General features: G+C 40.1%; 1 protein-coding gene across 3 annotated transcripts in view, besides 4 other annotated features; it reads right to left on the minus strand.

Annotated features, from left to right (window-relative positions):
- The window catches only part of CLNK (cytokine dependent hematopoietic cell linker), a 248,452-nt gene that overhangs the window by 181,977 nt on the left and 42,338 nt on the right, over positions 1 to 24,137 (minus strand). The window contains exon 1 of one of the 3 annotated variants that reach the window (NM_052964.4): positions 16,297 to 16,397. The exons of the other annotated variants lie outside the window; for them this stretch is intronic. The gene's annotated coding sequence lies outside the window, so the exon portion shown is untranslated. Of the gene's footprint in view, positions 1 to 16,296; positions 16,398 to 24,137 lie in introns of those variants that run through there. 3 annotated transcript variants of the gene reach the window in all.
- Positions 2,937 to 3,046: an enhancer, noted in NCBI's record as "active region_21315". NCBI's record gives its function as "activates an Ori minimal core promoter by ATAC-STARR-seq in GM12878 lymphoblastoid cells {active_cell/tissue: GM12878}" and the evidence as "EXISTENCE:reporter gene assay evidence [ECO:0000049][PMID:35858748]".
- Positions 5,855 to 5,924: an enhancer, noted in NCBI's record as "active region_21316". NCBI's record gives its function as "activates an Ori minimal core promoter by ATAC-STARR-seq in GM12878 lymphoblastoid cells {active_cell/tissue: GM12878}" and the evidence as "EXISTENCE:reporter gene assay evidence [ECO:0000049][PMID:35858748]".
- Positions 21,894 to 21,943: an enhancer, noted in NCBI's record as "active region_21317". NCBI's record gives its function as "activates an Ori minimal core promoter by ATAC-STARR-seq in GM12878 lymphoblastoid cells {active_cell/tissue: GM12878}" and the evidence as "EXISTENCE:reporter gene assay evidence [ECO:0000049][PMID:35858748]".
- Positions 21,984 to 22,083: an enhancer, noted in NCBI's record as "active region_21318". NCBI's record gives its function as "activates an Ori minimal core promoter by ATAC-STARR-seq in GM12878 lymphoblastoid cells {active_cell/tissue: GM12878}" and the evidence as "EXISTENCE:reporter gene assay evidence [ECO:0000049][PMID:35858748]".

Consider the following 24,137-nt stretch of genomic DNA (forward strand, 5'->3'; position numbering starts at 1 on the left):
GTATTCACCCACATAGTAAAGATTATTAGTGTTATTTACCATATAAATTAGCAGCAGAGACCCTGGGAGTATTCAGTAAGGGCTTCGTATCAATGATCTCATATAATCTACTCAAAGGCCCTGAGAGGTGTAAAGGATATCAGCTGAGGTTCCAGCAAGAAACAGATGACACTCTCAAATTGGGTAATTTGAGAACAGCTTAATAAAGAGACCATTTAAAAGGTGTGGGCAGGGTAGAAGGAATCCACAGAAGACAGTGAAGTATCTGGGAGTGGTAACAAAAGGGCGCTGTCACATGCCTGGGCTTGGAGGGATTTGGGGACCAGGTAGGCACTGGGACACAGAGACAGGTCTCTCTTTCTGGGTTGCGGGTAGAGGAGCTGTGGCTTTCAGTTGTGGGACCTGCAGGGAGGGAGCTGTGTTGGGTGGAATGAAAATCCCCATCTCACGCTCCCTCTGCCCTGGATCTCCTGATGCCATCTCCCATTGGCCAAACTCAACAGAAAGCCAAGGGCGAGGAGCTGTTAATATGGTTTTATATCTATCAGCTTCCCTGGGCTCCCAGATGAGAGGAATAGGGTAGAGAGTGGGTTTTACAGTTAGACAATGATACCCAGGAAGATTTAATTATGTGACCGAGAACACCCATCCCGCAATAAGAGCTGAGGTCCAGAGGACCCAGAAATTTCCATTTCCTAACCTGTCAGCATATGGCACCCCACTGAGCCTTCGGCATTTTTAGTATATTCTGCCATTCATCTATCCATTCATTCACTCATCCATCTGGGAAACTACCATTTACTGAAAATGTACTTTGTGCAAATATTGTGCCCAGTGAGACACAGTCCCTGCCCTTAAGCCACTTCTAAAACTAAGTATAGTATAGTTCCTGCATCCCTCCGTGACATCCCTCCTCTTATTAAAATGTTTTGCAAAAAACAGATAATTGTAAAACAAAACATAACAAATCCTAACTCTGTCTTGGAGAGCCAGCCAGGGTGATCTTCATAGAGGAGATAATACTTGAGCTTTGTCTTGCCAGGTAAGTCTGGGTCTTCTGGGCTCAAAATTAAGGGAGGTGTTCCAAGCAAATGGAGCATCATGCGCAAAGGTGTGAAGATGTTACAATGTATATTGTGCCAGAGTGGCTTTGCACATTTTGGTGAAACTGGAAGGGTTGGTAGCTGGGATGTTGGTAGTACATGAAAAAGAATGAGGGAAGGTCCCTTGGATTGAGATGATCAAGGATCATGCATGCTAAGGGATGGGATCTGAACTTCAACTGTGTGATCTTCAACCCATACTCATAACCCATACTAAAGAACTTGAACCAAGCTCTATGTCCTCTGATACCCTGTGTATTTTCCTCTGCCCTCACCCACCAGCCTCATCCCCTCGTCTTATGCTTGTAGGTCAATATTGACAGCAGGGAAAGGGGAGGCGGCTGTTAGGCTTTCATTCACTGATGGCCCACTGTGGCAGTGTGTAGAGTGTCTAGTCCATGGTCTCATTTGGAAGTCATTTCCATCATGGCAGTGGGGAAGGGGACTTGAACTTTCATCAGTGTAATACAAAGAATGCACATCAAATACTGGAAGGGTCCTGGACTGGAAGTTGAGAGACCTCTGTTCAGTTCCAGTGCTGCCATTAACTAGCCGTGTGGCCTTGAAGGAACACTTGGACCCTCCTAGTTTATAAATAGTAGTATCAATATCTTTCTTTTACAGCATGTCTTAAGTGTGAAATAAACTGAAACATATGAAAATGTCTTACAAACTATGAAATGTTATGAAACACGGATATGCAATTACTTGCATAGCAAAGCAAAGTTTGCAAGTTGCTTTAGCATCAGTCATGTTATATTTGGGTATGTGGGGTTATTGATGACAATTTTTGAATATTAGTATTTATAGAGATTAAATTACTTGATTACAGTCATACAGGACAAATCCATCCCCCATCCCTTAAGAGTATCTACCACTTAATGATAGCTGCTTATACAGCTACTTCATTCTTCAGAATGCATTAAGTAGCATCGAAATGGGACAAAATAAACTAGTCTTTACGGACAGCTCCCTGTGTGCCTGGATCTTGGCCAGTTCTTGTGTACAGAGTAAGGGGACCACAGATGCAGAACAGTTCCCTGCAAGGCTTATGCCTCAAATCAGAGTTCTGGCAAGGTGGCCAATGAAGCTGCTTTCCAGCCCCAGCCCTGCCATGCACTGTGCAGCTTTGAGTAAGGCATTGGAGCTTTCTGGGCTTTCGTTTCTTCACCTGAAAAATGAGCAGCTTAGGCCAAATAGGTCTTTTTCAGCTCAAAGAAATGGAAATAGTTTCATTAAAAAAAAATACAATCCATCAATATTTGGTGACAAAAATGGTTTCAAAAGTTAGAGTATGTCATTACATTTCTTATATTTTATTGTCTTCTCCAATAGAGCTCTGTGCAGAGCCAAATTGCAGGAGATTCTGCCAAATTGCTAACACCTAGGATAGCAGGGATGGAAACGCAAGGGATCAGGGAGGAATCCTTAATTTTTGCCTTATATGTAAACCTCTGTATATTATTTGATTGGTAATATCAGTGCTTATTAGACTTGTATTTTGAAATTTGAATAAAAGTTAAAAATATTAGTAGCTTTTGAGAGATGCAAGCACTTTATTGTATAAGAGTTTAAAAATATTATAGAGAGATCCCAAACTCTTCTGACATTTTAAAAAGCAGAATTTGAGGCCAGATGCAGTGGCTCACACCTGTAATCCCAACATTTTGGGAGGCCGAGGCGACTGGATCACCTGAGGCCAGGAGTTCGAGGCCAGCCTGGCCAACATGGTGGAACCCGTCTCTACTAAAAATACAAAAACTGAGCTGGGTATGGTGGTGGGCGCCTATAATCCCAGCTACTAGGGAGGCTGAGGCAGGAGAATTGCTTGAGCCAGGGAGGTAGAGGCTGCAGTGAGCCAAGATTGCACCACTGCACTCCAGCCTGGGCAACAAGAGTGAAACTCTATCTAAAAAAAAAAAGAAGAAAGCAGAATTTGAGGCCTTGGCAACCCTTACCAGAGACTGAGTTAGCCACAAAGTGTCATCAGCAAGACAGAAGAGATGGCATTCTACAGGGGAAACAGCTGTGCTCTACTCAGAATGGCTGACACCTTGAAAGCACCATACTCTGATCTAATCTTAGCCATCGTGCAAAGGATGTGGTGAAGTCAGTCAGAAAGAGTCTTATGTCCCCTGGCTTTTTGAAGGTAATAAATTATAGAGAATACAAGGCCCTTCCCTTCCTCATGTGTGCATTTTCAAAGACAAGGCAGTGAACACAGATCACCTGTTATATATCCCCCATCTCCCCACCTCAGTAACCTCATAGGGTCTGTTTTATGATCCTCATTTTATACAAAACCAAACAAGTTTTAGTTATAAAGGAAATAATGTATACCCTGATCCATTTCCAAGACGAAGTGCCTTGAATTGGCTTAGGTCAGCAAACTATAGAAGAAACAGCTTCCCCCCAACTTAGTTGCCCTCACCTGAACTAAAGAAGCTTAGTCTAAGATAAAAGTTTGCTAGTACGCAAAATAGCTCGCTTTGTCTCTTCTTATCAGCCTACGCAGCTACTTAGGTCGTAAGTCAAATACTTAAAGAGCCCCTAAGCTAACTAAGATTGCAATGCATTGTGGGCTGCGACAAAAATGCACCAAGACAACCCTAAAAAAACCACCTAAAGTTCCTGCCTAACAATCAATAGGCAATGTCAGGGAAGATTGTGACCCCATAGTACTCAGACTACGAGGAAGTGGGGGAGGGAACTGCGCACTATGGGATAAATTGCTTGTTGAAACTGTGCTAGGTGTGAGTGCATGCCAGACACTGGATCTTGCAAGACTGCCATTGAAAGTCTCACTTTTGCGTTCTCTGGATCTGTGAGTCCATTCTCTGGGTTTGAACAGGTGAGTTTGTTTCTCACAGTTATGCTTTGGGACAACTGTTTAACCATTCTGAGCCTCCGTGTGCTTATCTGTAAAATACGGGTAATACAACAGCTACCCTTAGGACTCTTATGAAGATTACATGAAAAAATACCATATCTAAGACATGGGGGAAATAGTGGTTAATATGAATCTGAACTTGAAGATTAATTAAATGCCTTATATCACTTTAAGTGCCTTAAAGTGGCACTTAGTTAGAAATGAAAGATGCTTAGGTAAGCATTTTTAGGTAAGCATCTGCTAATAACCACTGATGTAATCATAGAATCTTGTACCCGCCTATGCTTTGGAATTATCTGGAAACCTTAAAAAATATAATGTCCCAGAAAGTTTGATTCAATTGTTTTAGGGAAAAGCCCAGGTATGGACATTGTCTAAATGTCCCAGATATTTTAACAGGCAGGGAGGCAGAAGGGAGTGGACTTGAGTGTCAGTCTATTCCCATCTCCATCTACCCAGCACCACTGACTGGCAGCTTGTCAGTGAACACACCGATTTTTCTCATTCTTATGGAAAGCACCAAATAATCACATGTTCATTCACCTTGCTGTTCCAAACACATCTTAAATAGACATTTAGGAACTGGCACTGCTTGTAAATAATCCTCCATACACTTAGAATTATTTCTGAGTCAATTTTTAGCGGAATGTTTTTAAAAAACCTATCACATCCAAAGATTTTAACAATTTGATCATGGAAAAGTTTTCTAATCATGTCAAGCATCAATTTCTCTCTCAGGTCTTATTTATAGGCAGTGAAGAAGTAAAGTCCAGGCTCTTGCAATTGTACAGGGTAGAGTTTACTACTGTATCTGCAACTATTTATGAGGCTTTACAATGTGCCAGTCACGTTCCAGATCCTAGGAATTAGAGAGCATAGAGCATAAGGTATTATGGGAACACAGGGAAAAATATGCCCCAGAGGGATCTACACAGCTTTCTATGGAACAGGTTCTTACCCAGCTTCACCACAACTCCCCTCAGAAGTAACCCCAACTCCCCTTCTCTTGCCTGATTGCCCTGGACAGAACTTCCAACACTACGTTGAATAGGACAAATGTCCATCAGTGATAGACTGGATTAATAAAATGTGGCACATATACACCATGGAATACTATGCAGCCATAAAAAAGGATGAGTTCATGTCCTTTACAGGGACATGGATGAAGCTGGAAACCATCATTCTCAGCAAACTATTGCAAGGACAGAAAACCAAACACTGCATGTCCGCACTCACAGGTGGTAGTTGAACAATGAGAACATATGGACACAGGGAGGGGAACATCACACACTGGGGCCTGTCAGGGGGTGGGGGGTCTGGGGGAGTGATAGTATTAGGAGAAATAACTAATGTTAATAAAAAAAGAAGTAACCCCAACTCCCACATGGACTATGATAATGGAAGGGGAGGCAGGACTTGTAGGCTGTGGAGCGTCAGCCTTGCAGGTCTTTCTCCAACAGGTCTTACTTCAAGATCTGACCCAGATCAAAGAGTATGCAACATCTTCTTGCCTTGATTCGGAGACCTTGAGAAGCTGGAATGCCCCAGAAATGGAGCACAACTCATGGTGTGTGTGCATTCACTTTCTGTAGCAATTATTTCAGTTTCTCTTCCTGGTTAGCCACAGAAATAAAGCCCATGCATAGCTCTCTCTGTCAAAGGAATGACACTGAGGTGTCATCTGTCAGTTTTGCTTGTGGAACCCGGAGTCACAGCAGGGCACTTGGCATGGGTGATATTAATAGGTCCAGAGTCGACTCTGCTGTGGGGAAGCTGAAGGAAGCTCTGAAGGTATCAAGAGGAGACCACACCCTACTTTCAGGGACTCACTGTCAGGGAGGGACCAGGCAGAAGGAGACGTGTTGGGTGGAGCAGTGTGGAGGTACAAAGGAGCCCAGGGTCCTCCAGGAGTCCACAAGGAGAGGCTGCCTGTTTTCATGATGCCAGCTTATTTCTCCAACAAGAAAAAACACCACTGTACTGAGTGCTAGACGCCAATGCAAATCTAATTGCAAATGCCAACATGGGCAATAAAATTGCCTGAGTGTATACCAGGGCTTAAAGCCTAGGCAAAAGGGCCAGAATATGCTCATAATGAATTTACTTTGGGTTGGAACTCTGTGCTTTCATTTCATTAATACAGTTCCCATATAATTTATTAACCCTGACCTGGAACTCTTTGGGGATCCAAAATGAACCCCAGTTTGAGAAATAGTGTGTGTTGTCTCCCTACGGGGCTCACTGTACTCTCCTCCAGGTATAAAGGGGACCATGTCAAAGAGAGGTGCACAGGGTGGTTCACATCCTGAGTGGAGAGACCCCTGCCTCAACCATCTATTTGGACCAAACAACCCCACAGCTTTGGGGCGGATGGTCTCAATGATTATATTTGATTAGCTCATTAAGTAATTTGTGGTTTGAAAATGCTTTGTAAAGATAACGGATTTGATTTCATTGTTCAACCCCCATTTATGAGTAAGAACATGTGGTGTTTGGTTTTCTGTTCCTGTGTCAGTTTGCTAAGAATGATGGCCTCCAGCTTCATCCGTGTTCATGTTCATGAGAATACATGGACACAGGGAGGGGAACATCACACACTGGGGCCTGTTGGGGGGTTTGGGGCAAGGGGAGGGAGAGCATTAGGACAAATACCTAATTAGGACAAAGCATGTGGGGCTTAAAACCTAGATGATGGGTTGGATGGATGCAGCAAACCACCATGGCACATGTTTACCTACGTAACAAACCTGCAGGTTCTGCACATGTATCCCAGAACTTAAAGCATGAAATAAAAGATAATGGATTTGAGGGTTAAAGAATCACACCTATATTTTAGAAAACTAAAATAAAGAAAACAGGGTTCTGCAGATGAAAGTATCTATAAGATTTCCAAAGAACATACATTCGATTTGGGCACTAAAACCAGGATGCCTGCTTCTGAGCTCAGAACCCACCTGGGGTCTGAGTGAATGTTTTAAGAAGCAGAGACTTGTTTTATAAATAGGCTGGATTTTCACGTGTCTTAATTCAAAAATAATTAATATCCTTATGGTATCACAAGCAGTTTAAACAATTAGAAATATGTAATGCAACAATCGCATTTCCTTGTTACCCTTGAGAACTCTTGTTCTCCACTGGGAATTCACCAGTACTACCAAACTGAGCTTGCAAAGAGACATTTATCATAAATATTGCTGCTGCATTTCACCTGATCCAAAATTAATATTTCATGAAGAAAAAAATGCTTTTAGGGTAAAGAAATTGTTTTGTTCCCAAACATTAGTTATTTATTCCTAGAAGATAATGCTTATGAAAATACTGGCCTCTATTTATTTAAAAGCTTAGGAAATGTCATTCTAATAATATCTACAAGATACCTTCTAGATATAGGAAATGACCAAAAGCAAACTGTGAACGGCTAAAGAAAAGCTTTGAATGAATCGAGAAGGTAGGAGGTAGTTGTGCAATTAAAACTGGGTCAAGGCTCAAGAATAAGGTCTATATTAAGGCTTAAGGCTTTCTTTTATCATTAAAACAGGAAAAAAGGAAAAGAATATAAAACCCACACAATACACATCTGACTTTTTCTGCACAATCACATCACACATATCCAAAATGGTGAATGATTTTTGGAATTGAGAAAGGGAGCATGTGTGTATATTTGGAGAAGAGAGCCAGAAGAGTGTGTGTGTGTGTGTGTGTGTGTGTGTGTGTCTATGTGTGTGTGTGTTTGCACACACATAGGAGCTTTGAGTAAACATGTCGAAATCAAGATTTCTCAGATACAGATGATATTAATTTGGTTCCAATTCAGAGTTATATGTATTTTCTTTAATTTTCATATCAAAAATGAGAAAGTTACATTTTAGAGATGCTCATACTTAGAGGAAAATATATGCTGATTGGATTTCTAATTCTATACCCCAGTCAGATCAATCAGCTCAATTTAATTAAATATAACATTTAATTTTATTGGATTTCCATTGAGTGGAGGCCTTTGAAGTCAAATGCATTGTTATTATAGATTTCTTTTTTTTTTTTTTTGAGGGGTAAGGGAGAGTGCTTTCCTAGTTTTTCTGCTATTATGTATGGCACATTTTTATAAAATTTTGCAACTGTCCTGGTAATGAGTAACTTCCCTTGAGTATCTCAAGGCAATGTGACTGTGCATTCATTTTAATTTTAAATGATTTTGAAAACACTCTTAATGAACTGATGCAATCTATAGTTTCTGAATTTATTATTCCTGTTGAGTTTTGTTTTTAAAAACCATTTCCTTTTTTCTCTTCAGCTGCCTGATTCTGCAGAAAGGGTTTCCTTCCTTTAGTGGTAAGATTCTTTCTCTCTCCTCTTATTCCACTTTGTGGTGAATAGACTTTTTATCCTTTTTCCTGTTCATTTAGCTTTCTCATGTTCCTTTCCTTCCTCTATCCTTCATTTTTCTTCCTTCTCCTCCTTCTTTTTTCTTTGGCTCTTCCTTCTCTCTGCTCTTATTATTAAAGTGATTTTTACTGTTCACGTAAAGTGAGATTGTAGAAAAATAGTCTCCAAGTTTGCCAAAATCCTAACAGATATTTTATTTTATTATTTTTAAGTTTACCTCTGTCTCGCCCCTATTTTTTTTTTTTTTGGCTTCCATAAATGATGGCAGAACCACATTGATTAGAGGCAGGCACTTCTAGGCCTGGATTAAATCAGAACTTACCCAACTGTGATTGTTTCTCCATTGCTTGATTAATGCATTGAGATGGTACTGAAGGCAAATTTTAGAGGAAAAAAAGTATAAGAAAATAAACTAAGATTTAGGGATTGCTATATATTTACCACCATTTACAGGTTGGCCCTGCGGTGAAGATAAGGGTGAAGATAGATCCAGTAAACCCCACCATTCCCATGGACGTCTAAAGGCTAATGGCAAAAACACTGTAATTTTTTTCAACATTCATTTATTAAGCACCTGATGTATGCTGGTGATTTTCTGAGGAGCTGTTTTATGATCAGGAGAGCCTGAAAAATTTGTGAGGGAAATTTAAAATCCAAAGGAGAAACACAAAAGCCCAGGTAGTCTAAACAAGACTGGAAAAGAGTAATACAACTTAGAGTAGTAGTAATATGGTTTAGCTGTCTGTCCCCACCTAAATCTCATCTCGATTTGTAATCCCCAGGTGCTGAGGGAGGGAGGAGGTGATTGGATCATGGGGGTGGTTTCCCCCATGATGTTCTTGTGATAGTGGGTGAGTTCTCACAAGATCTGATGGTTTTATAAGGCAGTTTTCCATGCTCTTCTTCACTCTTCTCTCTCCTGCTGTCTTGTGGAGAAGGTGGCTGCTTCCCCTTCTGCCATGATTGTATGTTTCATGAGGCTTCCCCAGCCATGTGGAACTGTGAGTCAATTAAACCTCTTTCCGTTATAAACTACTCAGTCTCAGAGAAGTGCTTTACAGCAGTGTGAAAATGGACTAATAAAAATAGCAATAATAATAATAATAATAATAATACCATTTACTGCTTACCAGAACCGTATGTAGGGCATTTTGTTTAATTTAGTTTCCGTTATACAGCAACAATCCAAATGACCTAGATTTTTCAGCATTGAACAATCCTGTCATTCTGTGCAAGAGACTTCTTCTGAGCCAAGCTTGTCCAGTGAACAAATGCACAGTGTGGATCCAGATGAGATCATCATTTCATCTGTAACTTCGAGTACATTTAGAACCTAACTCCTGAATTAAACTTCCCCTTGCATAATTAACTATTTCTTTTTCTCTTCTTTTATTCAGGATCACTTATCTAGCAAGATGGGAGACAAATCTTTCAACCCAGGTATGCTGAATTATACAGTGAATTGTACAACTTGAGTCTCAGCTTCTCTAATCTGAAAGATGAGGCTATGAGTGCTCATCCTTCTTTGCTCATAGGATTATTTTGAAGACCAAGTAAGATGATGAAAGTGAAAGCACTCTGTAAAGTATAAACCGCTATGCAAGAATAGTTCCACAGATAATTACTGAGTAATTTCTTTGCATCAGTGCCGTGAAAAACTCTGAGGATTTGAAATTTGGCTAGGAAGGTATTCCAAAATAATTTCTATTATTTTTCATTAAATCTTAATATTTTCAGAGGATTAGCACATTTGAGGAATTGTAAGACACCCAAGGCTTTGATAGATGAATAATAAAAAATAAATAAGAATATGATGAAATTAGTTTCTGTAGAAATCACCTTAAAATAGAACTTCTTCAGGTCAAATATCTAGAAAACCCCATCATCTCAGCCCAAAATCTCCTTAAGCTGATAGGCAACTTCAGCAAAGTCTCAGGATACAAAATCAATGTGCAAAAATCACTAGCATTCTTATACACCAATAACAGACAAACAGAGAGCCAAATCATGAGTGAACTCCCATTCACAATTGCCTCAAAGAAAATAAAATACTTACAAGGGATGTGAAGGACCTCTTCAAGGAGAACTACAAACCACTGCTCAATGAAATAAAAGAGTATACAAACAAATGGAAGAACATTCCATGCTCATGGGTAGGAGGAATCAATATCGTGAAAATGGCCATACTGCCCAAGGTAATTTATAGATTCAATGCCATCCCCATCAAGCTACCAATGACTTTTTTCACTGAATTGGAAAAAAAACTACTTTAAAGTTCATATGGAAGCAAACAAGAGCGTGCATTGCCAACTCAATCCTAAGCCTAAAGAACAAAGCTGGAGGCATCAGACTACCTGACTTCAAACTATACTACAAGGCTGCAGCAACCAAAACAGCATGGTACTGGTACCAAAACAGAGATATAGACCAATGGAACAGAACAGAGCCCTCAGAAATAATGCCACATATCTACAACTATCTGATCTTTGACAAACCTGACAAAAACAAGAAATGGGGAAAGGATTCCATATTTAATAAATGGTGCTGGGAAAACTGGCTAGCCATATGTAGAAAGCTGAAACTGGATCCCTTCCTTACACCTTACACAAAAATTAATTCAAGATGGATGAAAGACTTACATGTTAGACCTAAAACCATAAAAACCCTAGAAGAAAACCTAGGCAATACCATTCAGGACATAGGCATGGGCAAGGACTTCATGTCTAAAACATCAAAAGCATGGCAACAAAAGCCAAAATTGACAAATGGGATCTAATTAAACTAAAGAGCTCCTGCACTGCAAAAGAAACTACCATCAGAGTGAACAGGCAACCTACAGAATAGGAGAAAATTTTTGCAATCTACTCATCTGACAAAGGGCTAATATCCAGAATCTACAATGAACTCAAACAAATTTACAAGAAAAAAAACAAACAACCCCATCAAAAAGTGGGCAAAGGATATGAACAGACACTTCTCAAAAGAAGACATTTATGCAGCCAAAAAACACATGAAAATATGCTCATCATCACTGGCCATCAGAGAAATGCAAATCAAAACCACAATGAGATACCATCTCACACCAGTTAGAATGGCGATCATTAAAAAGTCAGGAAACAACAGGTGCTGGAGAGGATGTGGAGAAATAGGAACACTTTTACACTGTTGGTGGGACTGTAAACTAGTTCAACTATTGTGGAAGTCAGTGTGGTGATTCCTCAGGGATCTAGAACTAGAAATACCATTTGACCCAGCCATCTCATTACTGGATATATACCCAAAGGATTATAAATCATGCTGCTATAAAGACACATGCACACGTATGTTTATTGCGGCACTATTCACAATAACAAAGACTCGGAACCAACCTAAATGTCCAACAATGATAGACTGGATGAAGAAAATGTGGCAGATATACATCATGGAATACTATGCAGCCATAAAAAATGATGAGTTCATGTCCTTTGTAGGGACATGGATGAAGCTGGAAACCATCATTCTCAGCAAGCTATCGCAAGGACAATAAACCAAACACCGCATGTTCTCACTCATAGGTGGGAATTGAAGAATGAGAACACATGGACGCAGGAAGGGGAACATCACACACTGGGGCCTGTGGTGGGTTGGGGGGAGGGGGGAGGGATAGCATTAGGAGGTATACCTAATGCTAAATGATGAGTTAATGGGTGCAGCACACCAACATGTCACATGTATACATATGTAACAAACCTGCACGTTGTGCACATGTACCCTAAAACTTAAAGTATAATAATAATTAAAAAAGAAGACAAAAAAGGGACAAAGGCCAAGAATCTAAGGAAGGTTTGTTTAAATATAAAATAAACTCATAATAATAATGCTAAGAATGATGATAATAGCCACTACCATTTACTTTGTATTTAATAATTACTAGTCACCATGATATGCATTTTTATGTACTGAATCTCATTTCTCACCACAAATTCGAGCAGTAGATATTTTTATTCCATTTTATAAAGGATAAACAGAGGTTCTGAGGAGTTAAATAACTTGTCTAAAACCATATTGCTAGGAAGTAACTGATTTCAAACCCACACTATCCATGTCTCAACGACTGGATGGCGTGGTATAGTGAAAACAGCATGTATCAGAAGTAGGAGTTTGGGATGGGGACTGTGTGGAGGTGTCCTGTGTAAAGAGTCCAGACAGATAAAGCTGATCGGGAGATCCCTAGACTTGCCCATGAGTGAGGACGTCCTGATATATATATATATATAAATTTCTACAGGTAACCATGGGGCAGACTGGCTTTCCAGGTGCCTGCCAAGGCATCAGACCACCCATAGCTCAGCAAATCCAGCTTTTGAAATTACACAGCTCTGACTTAGTGCTCAACAAGCTACTGCCCAATATCAATTTAGTTTCCTGTGTACATTTGTCTCCTGGGAGGGAATATGCCAATCATCTGAACTTATAATTTGAGTACACTTGAACAAAATCACCAAAGATGGATACATAGGTCAAAGTACCAGAGTGAACTGACCTCTTGAGCTCCATCAACTCTGTGTGCCTTGGATACAATTAGCTTTCTGGGTCTTCAAAACTGATGGTGAAATGTGGTCCTTAGGCAGTCCACAAAAATTCAGCCCTCTCAGAGTTTGGGCCTAGGCTATTAGTCAGCCCTTATCTTTATCTTACACGAAATTGAACACAGAACCTACCACTGTTAAAGATTATCATCCAATCACATGGATATTAAATTTTCATGTTGTATCTAGACCTTTTGGCTCATCTTAGTTCAAATGACAAACCACAGTACCATTTAAACACAATAGGATTTTGATTCTCATGCATAAGTGTTTAGGAAGCAGTGTTTCAATTAGTATCACCAATGAAATTTAAAAGAAACAACTAAAATACATATTTTGCTAATGCTTGTGGTGTATCTGGGAGTTCCTTAAATGCTGTTGACTAGTTTGGAAGACAGTGATTGATGCCCTGATCATGAACCTGGGAACATCAGCAGGGTACTCATGGAGCACCATGCCGAGAGCAGGAGCTCGGGGCTCGGGTGGACCTGGGTCTCATTTCTGGCATATCCTCCTATTCATTGCATGAAATGGACAATGCATGGAGCCTGCCTGAACTTCAGAATCCGTTTTGTAAAGTAAGAATTAAGTACACCTACTTAAAAAGTGAGAAATGATGAGCGTTTCTTGTCTATCAGCAACACTTAAATGGTAACCTGTAAGTCATTGCTCTTTGGAAGACATGATTAAAATTAAGCAGAATAATCACAATAATGATTCCCAAATATTCTGCCCATAAGAGTAACAAAAAATAAATAATAAACACAAAAATTGGTCCTATGATAGCTCTATTCCACAATTCTGTTTGTGTGTGTGTATGTGTGTGTGTGTGTGTGTGATTTTTTCGTTATTGCTGATATCTAACCTGATGCTTCTCAGTTTTATTGGTAAAATCGTGAATGTTTGGTTTAATCTGTTAAAAATCATAAATAGAATTTAAATTCAGGTATTTATCTCTCTGGTTAGTAATTTAGCCGCTTTGAACACTTTATGTTTCTTTGTCATGCTAGGAGGGTAGGTACAGCCTAGAAGAACTCTGCAGAACTCAAGTCTTGGCAGATGTTGGCAGTAGCTTATGACAGTGGATATAACTGCTCCATGTACTAGGATTCAGAAAAGGATGCTTCTAGATCTCTGTCTGCTACTCTTCATGTGAAAATTTAGCCAGTTCCTGGCTATCTCTTCTGTGTCAGACACTGTGTGCACATTTGCTCTCACTCTCGAAGCAACACACAAAATGTATTCTTCCTCCCAGTTTCAAATTACACAACTCCAACAACAGCTAACTAAAGATCAGAGAGGTTAAGCTACTTACCTAAAGACGAACAGTAAAGTCACACACTAGATTCATGTCCATTTTTGACAATCTCAAAGCCCTGTTTCTTTCCATTTCACCATGTTGTCCTTCCTCATCTTTTCTAAGCCCCAGTTTCACCTTTTAAATGCTCTAATACGTGCTCTGCCTACTTCATTAAGCTGTTAAGATCATTCAAGAAGAAAATATGTATTCAAAGGCCTACATTACATAGGGCTATACAACTGTGGAATATTACCATTCTCTAATGAGATTATTAAAATACAATATTTGTAAACTTATGTGTATTAATCAATTCTATGTTGATTGTGGTCATGTTTTAAGAATAAAATCAGAACTGATTTGGAGTGAGGAAAGGAAAGTAATGGAGAAAGAAGTCAACACTTACTGAATACTTGCTAAGTGTTAAGAATGCACCATATTTCACGTAATATAAATATTATATTATTGAGGCTAAATAATTGTCAATACAAGTCTTATGAGATCTTACTTTATTAAAAAGGGGGAGGAAATGAGGATCATATATGAAACAACATCCCTGGTCCAAGTGGCAGAGTCAGGATCCTCACCATTTTGATCAGGCGTCAAATCCTACAGTCTTTCTAAGACAGCACCTGACTCATGGCAAAGTGATCGAGAAACAGAATCCCCTGGTGTTCAGGCCAGAGCTGGCCAGATGGTACAGAAGATTATAAGCACTGGCTTTCAAATGGTCTTGCCTATACAGTCATCTGAGAGGGCTTGTTGGGAATAACAAAGAAATACTACCATTTAGATGGTTGGTGTCAGAGACCACCCAGGAGTGAGTTTAGGGATGAGCTCTGTGAAACTGCAAACTAACACTGTTCACCATTCCAATCAGTCAGCCAGGAAAATCAGTTTCCTTCTGAATTCTGTTACTGACATTAGTGACTGAACAACCTTGCACATATTACTTAGAGAACTCAAGTTCTTCACCTGTAAACCAGGGAAAGTAATAGCCAGCTCTCTAGGTCAGCAGGAGCTGAAGGTAAGTAAATGCCAGTTGCCATTCCTACTTCTCTAGGGCATACTGTATCTTAAGCTTCTTAGAGGATTTCTGAAGCGCTGTCATTTCTCTGGTAGGCCTTCAATTAACCAGCTCTACCATCGTCTTCTTGATATTTGAAATGATTATTCCTGGTGGTTTGGGAGGCCCCTGGAAATCCAAAGAACAACACTATTGAGGAGCTGCGCCACAGTATAGACAGAGACAGCCAGAGAAATAGCCATGTAGGTAATAGACAAGTAATACTCATAACAGAGAAGCCAAATGAGTAACACTGGTGTAAAGTAATAAAAACAGTATTGATAAAAAGTTCAGGCATATCGACACCTTTTAAAATCAAAGTATCCATATTTTGATGATAGTTATTTTCTTTTCTGTCTCATTCCAGTTTGTTTGCTTTATCCAATAAAAGCCTGGTAGAGATGACTCCCGGCACTTTTCAAGAGTAAGAATTTAACCCCAACTTTAACCTCACTTTTGAGCTCCTTACTCTTGTGAGTGGAAGGATGTCTGCGTGATTCCAAAGTCTAAGTCTCCTCTACACCAAAGCAGAAAGAAAATCGTATTACTTTAGAAAATGTTAAAAATATATTTCCACAGGGCTCCAGGAGTTAACTTATACTTTGAATGACCTACTTTGAATGGAGGCTTTCTTTCTAGAGGGCTTACTTAATGAAGGTCAGCCAGGAAAGCCAGCCATGGGGCCTGGTCTTTAGATTTCAGTTGCAAACAGTCGGGGAGTCCAAGCTCCAGGAAAAGAAGATTGAAAACATTTAGTCTTTTAATTTTCTGTGGGTAGGTATCCTGATTCTTTCTCCCAAAAGAATGAAAGGATCTTTAACAATTGAGTTAAGGGCTTTCTTCTTGCTCCTTTGATGCTATATATAAGGCCCAGACTTCCACTTTAGAAACACATTTTTACTTGCTGCTCAGGTCTTTCCTGATGATCATTTATGACAAGGAGATGACCATGAGATCCTCACTCAGAAGAACTGGCCTAATGAGTTTACCTGAACAGCGTGGAGAGCACCAAGGGATCTAGGCTGAGGTGTCCGTCTCCTGTGAGGAGGGGCGGCAGTGCAGAGACCTTGGGGCACTGGAAATTAGTAAGGCGGTGGGTTGAATTCTTCTCGATGCTAAGCAGTGCCCTTCAGCAGAAAACCTCCTGATAGGTCCGTTTTAGACTTGGTTTCCTGTGAAATGCAGCCACAGACCTGAGAGGTCTGACCTGAGGGCTGGCAGGACTTCCTCTTCTTAGGCTGGAGTGCAATACGTGAAGCTTTCAGAGGCTGAAATCTTCCAATGCAAAGGGTGTTTTTAAAGACACACGGTGTCCTTATGTGGCACTTCATAGTTACCAGAACACAATAAAAGGAACTGCTGGGCAACACTCAAGCATGGAAGGTGGGTTTTGCGAGTCTCACTTTATATGAATAGTGGACATTAACTATCATCTTTTGGCTTAATTTTGCAATGGCTTCCTGAGACCATCCCAGACACATGGACCAGGTGTTAAGGAAAGAACCTGGGAACTAAAGGAGAAATGCCTGCCTCTTATTCTTGCTGTATTAATTATTAGCTATAGGATCTTGGGCACTTTGAAGTTTATTTCTCAAGTAGTTTGAGTGATAATAATATTTGTATTTTAGAAACTTTTTTAAAAAATGAGGGATAATTGAGGATTATATTTCCTTCATTGAGGAAATGATATTTCCTCAATTGTGATGGAAGGATAATATTTATATTTTAGAAGTATTTCAATAAATAAACAAAATATTGTAAATAAAGGCATGCAGTAATGTTTGGGCACATATCAGTTGCTTAATACATTTTCTTTCGGCCTTAATCTTGGTCCATTTAAGCTGATCTTGCCGAGTGCCTGTTTCCTCTTCTGGAGACTTGACATTCTAGTTTTATATAAATTGATGTTGAATTCCATAACAAACTCCAACATTATTTACAATAAATTCAAAGGTAGAAGTTTATATTTTCTTGGGTAAATAACTCTGGTTTTGACTTAACAGACACCCCAAGGAAAACATGAAAATAAGCACTCTTTGAATGCTAATTGTGAGTCAGTTACATTGCTAAGCAACTTGCAAGCATTATCCTCCTTAATCTTACTAATAACCATGTAAGGAACATATGTAAAATCCCATTTTGTAATTGTGAAAACTGAAGACTAGGGAGACTCGAGTAGTTTAACCACTTTATTAATTAGCTTTTGCTGCATTAGGGGCTTAAAGCAGTAACCACTTTATTTAGTTCATAATTGTGTGTGTCACTTGCTCACTTCTTTTGGTCTGGACCCATATTAATTTTCTGGGGTTTTCATAACAAAGGACTGAGCCCTGAGTGGCTAACAAAACAGAAGGTCAAATTGTATTGTCTCACAGTCTGGCCTCTGGAAGTCTGAGATCAAGGAGTCGGCAAGGTTGGATCCTCCTGAGAGCCATGAGGAGAAGATCTGTTCCAGGCCTTTATCCCCGGCTTGTGGGTGTCTTTGTATCCTTGTTTTTGTGTTTACATGGCATTCTCCCTGTGTCTTTGTCCAAATTTCCCCTTCTTATCAGGAGAGGAGTCACAGTGAATGATGGCTCACCCTAATTACCCAATTTTAACTTGATTACCTCTTTAAAGACCCAGTCTCCATGTCAGAAGGCATTCCAAGGTAGTGGGGGGTTAGGACTTTAACAAATGAATTTTAGCTGGGACGTATTCGACCCATAACAAGACCTGATCATCTGGTCTGTGCTAGTGGGTTGAGAGGCAGTTGGATGATCTAAGATTATCACACTCATGAATCTGTTTGTTGGCAATCATGTCAGCCAGGTGCCTCTGTTCTCCTCTGCATAGCTTCCTGTTATCTAGTGGCCAGCTAGGCCCATGTACACGGTGGGTTTGGGGCACTAAGGGCAGTGGGAGAGGGGAAACTCCAGCCTCCAGCCTTTTCCAGGCCTCTGCTTGCATCCTAGATGCCATGGTCCCATTGGCCAAAGCAAGTCACATGGCCAAGTTCAGAGTAAATGTGGGAGAAGACTATTCAAGGGGTGAATGAAGAAAAGTGAATTATTGTGGTCTTCATTGGCAAATAATCTAAAAATGCATGTTCACATCCAATTGGTGGCTAGACTGCAATAAGAACCCAAGTCTAATGATATGAATATTTCTGCTTTTTACTCATGAAGAATTGAAGACAATTTGGTTTAATGAGAAAGCTGATAATAGTGTAGGTGATATTTAAAGCTTTTTTTCTTGGAATATCATTCATTAATTTATTATCTATTGAATATATACCATGCATCAGCAGCTCTATTAGGTGCTGAAAAATACAATTAGATAAGAGATATACCTACTCCTTTGATGGAGCTTACAGCCTAGAAGAGGTGAAAATAAATGAATGGACTTCAGATATATATAAAACTACAATTTGTGGTAAATGCAATGAATAGTGCCTGATCAGACATGTATTGATTTAACAAATAGATATTTACATCCTCTACCTACTACTATCAGCCACTGGGCAAGCTGTGGGGATATAGAGGTGAAAAAAAAAAAAAACTTGTCCCTACCTTCATGGAGTTTCGAATCTAATATAATAGAGAGGTATTGAACAAGAAATCAACCATCAAGATGATGTATTCAGAGACAGGAACAAAGAGGGCTCTGAAACAAATAGGAGGCGAATGTGTTCTACTCTGTGAATTCAGACCAGATTTCCTCTGGGGAAGTGACAAGAGATCTGAGGTGTTGACAATAGGTAGAAATTTGCTGGAGCAGAAATGGAGAAAAAAGAGGAGGGAAGAGGAGAGAAGGAAGGAAGGAAGAAACAAAAGAAGGCTTCTAAGAAAGAAAGAAGCAGGAAAGGGAAGAGGAGGGAGGGGAGAAGGGAAGGAGTAAAGGAGGTGTCCGGGATCACATTCAAGGCCAAAGATATTGTCAATCTGGATGCCTGGGTGGGAAAAACAGCATAGCTCACTAGAGGAGCCTATACAGCGAAAGGTGGCTAGCATGGAGAGGGAGCAAGGAAGAGCGTGACACAGAAGCAACAAAAGAGGCTCAATCTCAGGCCAGCTGCAAATTCCAACCTGCATGTTCTTGCTTCCTGTCTCACATTCCACAGTTAGAGGGACTCCCTTGCGTTCATCTTCTCTTTGGGTGATAATTCATTTTGTGTTCATTGCTTCACGAGTTCTTGCCTCTTATCCCCCATATCCCTCTTGCATAGTTTATTGGGTTCATGGATCCTGAGTCTTAACAAGAAGTATAAATCCAGAGAAGTTTGGGTTTTGCCAACTAGGTTACAGTTATCCAGATGTATCACACAGTGGCTGCCTAGATCTGGGCAAGGAATTTGACTGTTCTGGGAGCCATATGTAACTTGAGGATGATAATACTTACTCAGAGGAGTGGCTATTAGGATAAAATTACTTACCTCCTGCAATGGGCTAGCATGTGCCTGGCTATAATTAGCATTAGCCCGCTTGGCTTTTGTTGGGCCTGTCTCACAGTGCCACTGAAGTGTAGTATGGGACCACCAGAAATATTGAGTTGTGGGTAAGTGATTTAATAGCGGATGTGCGGTGTGTGTAGAGCTAAATCTATGTTCAAATGGGACATTTCTGAGTCAGTGCTTGACCTAGTGATTCTGTCAAGTTTTCACTTTCTGAATAGTCTACTCAAGGCATGAAACTCTTGGGTAGATCATGTGGAAGAATTACAGGGAGAAAAAAAACAGGGGGAAAAACCCAAAGAGAACTTCTAAGGTCAATCATATTCAAGGAGGACCATGGTGCCTGGATGGCTGGGAAAGAGCTTTTCCTGGTTCTTGCATGGCCTGCTGGGAGGCTAATTTGCAAGGCTGTCAAGTTTTGGAGTTTCACTGGCTTAGGTCAAATCCCACCCAGTTACACTAATTGGATAAATGTAGATGAGTTATATAACCTGACTGATTCTCTCCTTTCTCCCCTTTAAAAAGAGGTATACTACTACTAACCTCTTGGCATTGTTAATGTATAAAATGATAAAATTCTCTTGCAAATACAGGCAGGTAAGAATACACAGGTGTAACACATCTGTTAACAACCTGAAATCTATTCAAAGAGAAGATGTTTAAAATTTTTTTGAGCTTCGGCTATGCATTTAGTGCACATGAAAAGAAACTGACATTTTTATCTCTGCTTTAAATATCATTTTATTATTTTAACCTTTTAATTTTGAAACAATTATAGACTCACAAGAAAGAAAAAAATAGTACAGAAGAGTCCTATGTAGCACCTATCACCCAGTTTCCCCCCGAGAAACAGATTTCTTATGAATAAACATTTTGTGCAGAAACAGATTTGATTCTTAATTCACTTCCTCTTTCTAAAATTGAGGCAACGTGCTGGGGGAAAAATAAAAGATGGCAAAACCTTACCTAACCTTACCACTTTCTCGCTGTTTTTGCTATCTAAGGTTTCTTTTCCTTTCTTTCTTTCTTTTTTTTTTTCGGGGGCGACGAGGTCTTACTCTGTCACCCAGACTGAGTGCAGTGATGCTATCATAGGTCACTGCAGCCTTGAACTCCTGGGCTCAAGTGATTCTCCTGCATCAGCCTCCTGAGTAGTTGGGACTGCAGGCACAAGACACTGTACCAGGCTAACTTTCTTTAGTTTTGTAGAGATGGGATCTCCCTATGTTGACTAGACTGGTCTCAAACTCCTGGTCTCAAGCAATCCTCCCATTTAGGCCTCCTAAAGTGCTGGGGTTACAGGCGTGAGCCACTACACCCTGTCCTTTTTTGAAATGTTTCCAACAAGACAAATTTAAATGAAGAAAGAAGTCTTTGGTTTGGGTAAACACCCTGACACTATTCGGTGTTTGGTTTCATCCCTTCAGCTGGTCGTGACTGCCAAGTTCAGGCTCCTGTCAGGCAGCTGGTCTCAGGTGGTATCAAGGCCTGGAGTAGCACCTTGCAACTTACACAAACATAGACCCTCAAAACACAAAACAGAACTATTGAACACAACCAAAGAAGGGTGTGTTGTTTGTTTTAAAAATTCCTAGTTCAGAGTGCTATCTCCTGCAATGGATCAAAACCCATGCATTTTTTTTTTTTTTTTTACAAATTGTGTGAGTGGAAACCTGTGTTAATTAGTGCCAGCATCTCTGATTTATTACAGTTTAGCACCTGTTTACATTGGTGCCTTGGGCAGTTTGACTCCAGGCCCTTGAGAGGAGATCAGCTCACACTAATTGCTGTTCCCTCTCATCTCATAGCCTGTCTCCTTCAGGACACATGCTATGAGCCTCCCCACAATTAGCTGTGATTTCTGTTTCACAACGTGCTAAAACTTTTGAAAGTGGAATCTCCATGTGAGCTGAAGTCATGTCCTCTGCTGGATTTCAGACGCGCTGAATTTAAACTGCCATGGTCTATGGCATGAGTTAGACAATTTTCATGGCTGCTAAGAAATAACTCCCTGGTCAACACCTCAGTAAATAAACACGGTTGGCATTCAAACACATCTGGTCAAGTCCGGGAACTATGTTGGGGTGGGAGTGTTCCTACTTTACTCTCTCTAGCAAGGCCCTGCTTCCTGGCCCAACCACCCTGACTAAACCATCCCACAGGACAGAAGAACCCAACATGGGTAAATCCAGGGCTCAGTATAAGAGCTCATCCGGCAGAGGCAAAGGGGCATTTTGAGGATAACACGGTTTCTGACTTTGTATTGATTTCCTAGCCTCGTTTTGTTGCATTCGTGTCTAAGTTCTTTGGAAACCACAGAAGCAGAAGTGGTATGTGAATGTAGAAAGAGCTGTTTTTGAAAATCTCTGGCATGGTTTCTTTACCTCTCCCAATTCTTCTTTAAAAAAAGATAGAAGTTTATCAATTAATAAATATCCATTAATTACAAATTCATTGCTGAGCTCACACTACTTTTCCCCAGAAGGACCTCATGAGGCTAACATTAATTAAGACCTCAATATATGCTATAATTGTGCTAGGCACTTTGCATAAATGCATAATTTAATCATTACAATAACGCCTCTGTGTTAGTATCATTATCGCTGTTATACTTTTGACTATACCAGTCTCGGAGTCACCAAGTTCTCACAACACTGGTGAGAGATTCATTCATGTCCCACTGTCTCCATGAGTCCCCTTTCAGCTTTGGCACCATAAGGGCTCTCAGAACATTGGTAGCTCTGTTCTACGGAGGCCATGGGAGCAGGTAGAGGCAGAGGCTACTGTACCTGGTGAAACACCAGTAATAAATAAATGTGTAAGAGAAAGTGCAGTGCAACAAAAGAATGAAACAGGATAATGAAATGAAGAGTGTGGGGTGGGAACTTTATATATGGAGGTCTAAGTCTGCATCTCTGCAGAGGTGAAGTTTGAGCTGAGGTCTAAGTAATGAAAAAGACCCAGCCACGTGAAGCTCTGGAGGGGAGAGATTTCCAAGTAGAGGAAACCCATGAGAAGTTCCAAGGAAGAATTAGCTTTGGGGGTCTAATATGCATTAATAGGTATTGGGATATACATATATATAAGTTTTAATATGTATTGGGGTATACATAATATGTATAATATGGGGGCATAATATGTATTAATAAATTACAAACTCCTTGAGGGTGGCCACAGTTATTTCTCATCTTGGAATCCATTGCAATACTAAGGACCCACCTTGTATCACCCAGCAATAGTTGAACTGAAATGATGATAGTCTAATCCTCACATTTTCAAATGAGAAGGTGGAGTCCTAACTAGGTGAAGTGACTGGCCACCAAGGTGAGTAGGGAAAAGAACCAAGACAGAGACGTAAGTTCCAAATCTTTTTCCAGCTCAGCATAGCTATGTTTCTCAATTCTACATTTAAATGGCATCCATTGCTAGCAATTTATCTTGAGCAGAGCCTTGTTTAGACAAATCTGGCTGGGAGTGTGACATTATCCATAACAGCAAAAAAAAAAAACTGCTTTGGGTTATTTGCCGGATACTTTTCCCCAAGGTTAAAAACACTGTAGTATTTTTAAATCATGCTGGCAAAATTATTCCCTGTGCAGAGGCTAAATTGTTTCCAGGGTCTCCAAATTGGCAGGACAAAGGGCCCCATACCATCTGTCCTCAAACTGGTTGAATTTAGGCCTTGAAGCAAGAATCAGATTAGGAAAGAAAAAAACAGCATGAAACACCGCCGAGGAATCTCTTGATGAGCTTCTTATTAGTACATGTGATTATTAATCTATGGGTGGGACAAGGAGACTCCTAGAATAGAAGATAAGAGAAATGAAGCCAATTTCAACACTTGAAATAAAATTAGATCTTTGACTTTTTTACAGGGACAGGACTTTTCAACTTTCTCATTCTCTCTCCCTGCCTCTCTCTTTTTAAATGTTTTTTTTTTCTTTTCTTTTCTAGAAAGAATGAGAAAGGAACCAGAATCACTTCCCTCTCTTTAAGGCAAGTAGAAATAATAATAGCTGGTATAAATAGAGTAACTGACGCTTTTTCCAACATTTTCCTGTACTTTGTTTTCCTTTATTTGAAGTTTAGTCTACAATGTACAAACTCCTCAGCATAATGTTTTGAGACACAAAGAGGTTAAGTTCCAAGTCGTGCCTGGATCCTACAGCTCATAAACTACTGGGCAAGGACAGGCTCAGATCTTTAACCCTCAGATCACTTGCCCTTGCCAGTATTTTAACAGAGATATAGCAAAGTTGAAAGTGAGGGCCGCATTCACAGGCAGCAGTTGGTGATCCCGTGACTCAGGTTCTAAGCCTGAACTTCTTTGCACAGCTTCATGGTCTCCTTGAACGCGAACGCTCTGAGACTGGGGTTTTGAGTGGCAACGTGGCTCCC

The sequence above is a fragment of the Homo sapiens genome, chromosome 4 (assembly GCF_000001405.40).
Source record: "Homo sapiens chromosome 4, GRCh38.p14 Primary Assembly".
NCBI lineage: Eukaryota > Metazoa > Chordata > Mammalia > Primates > Hominidae > Homo > Homo sapiens.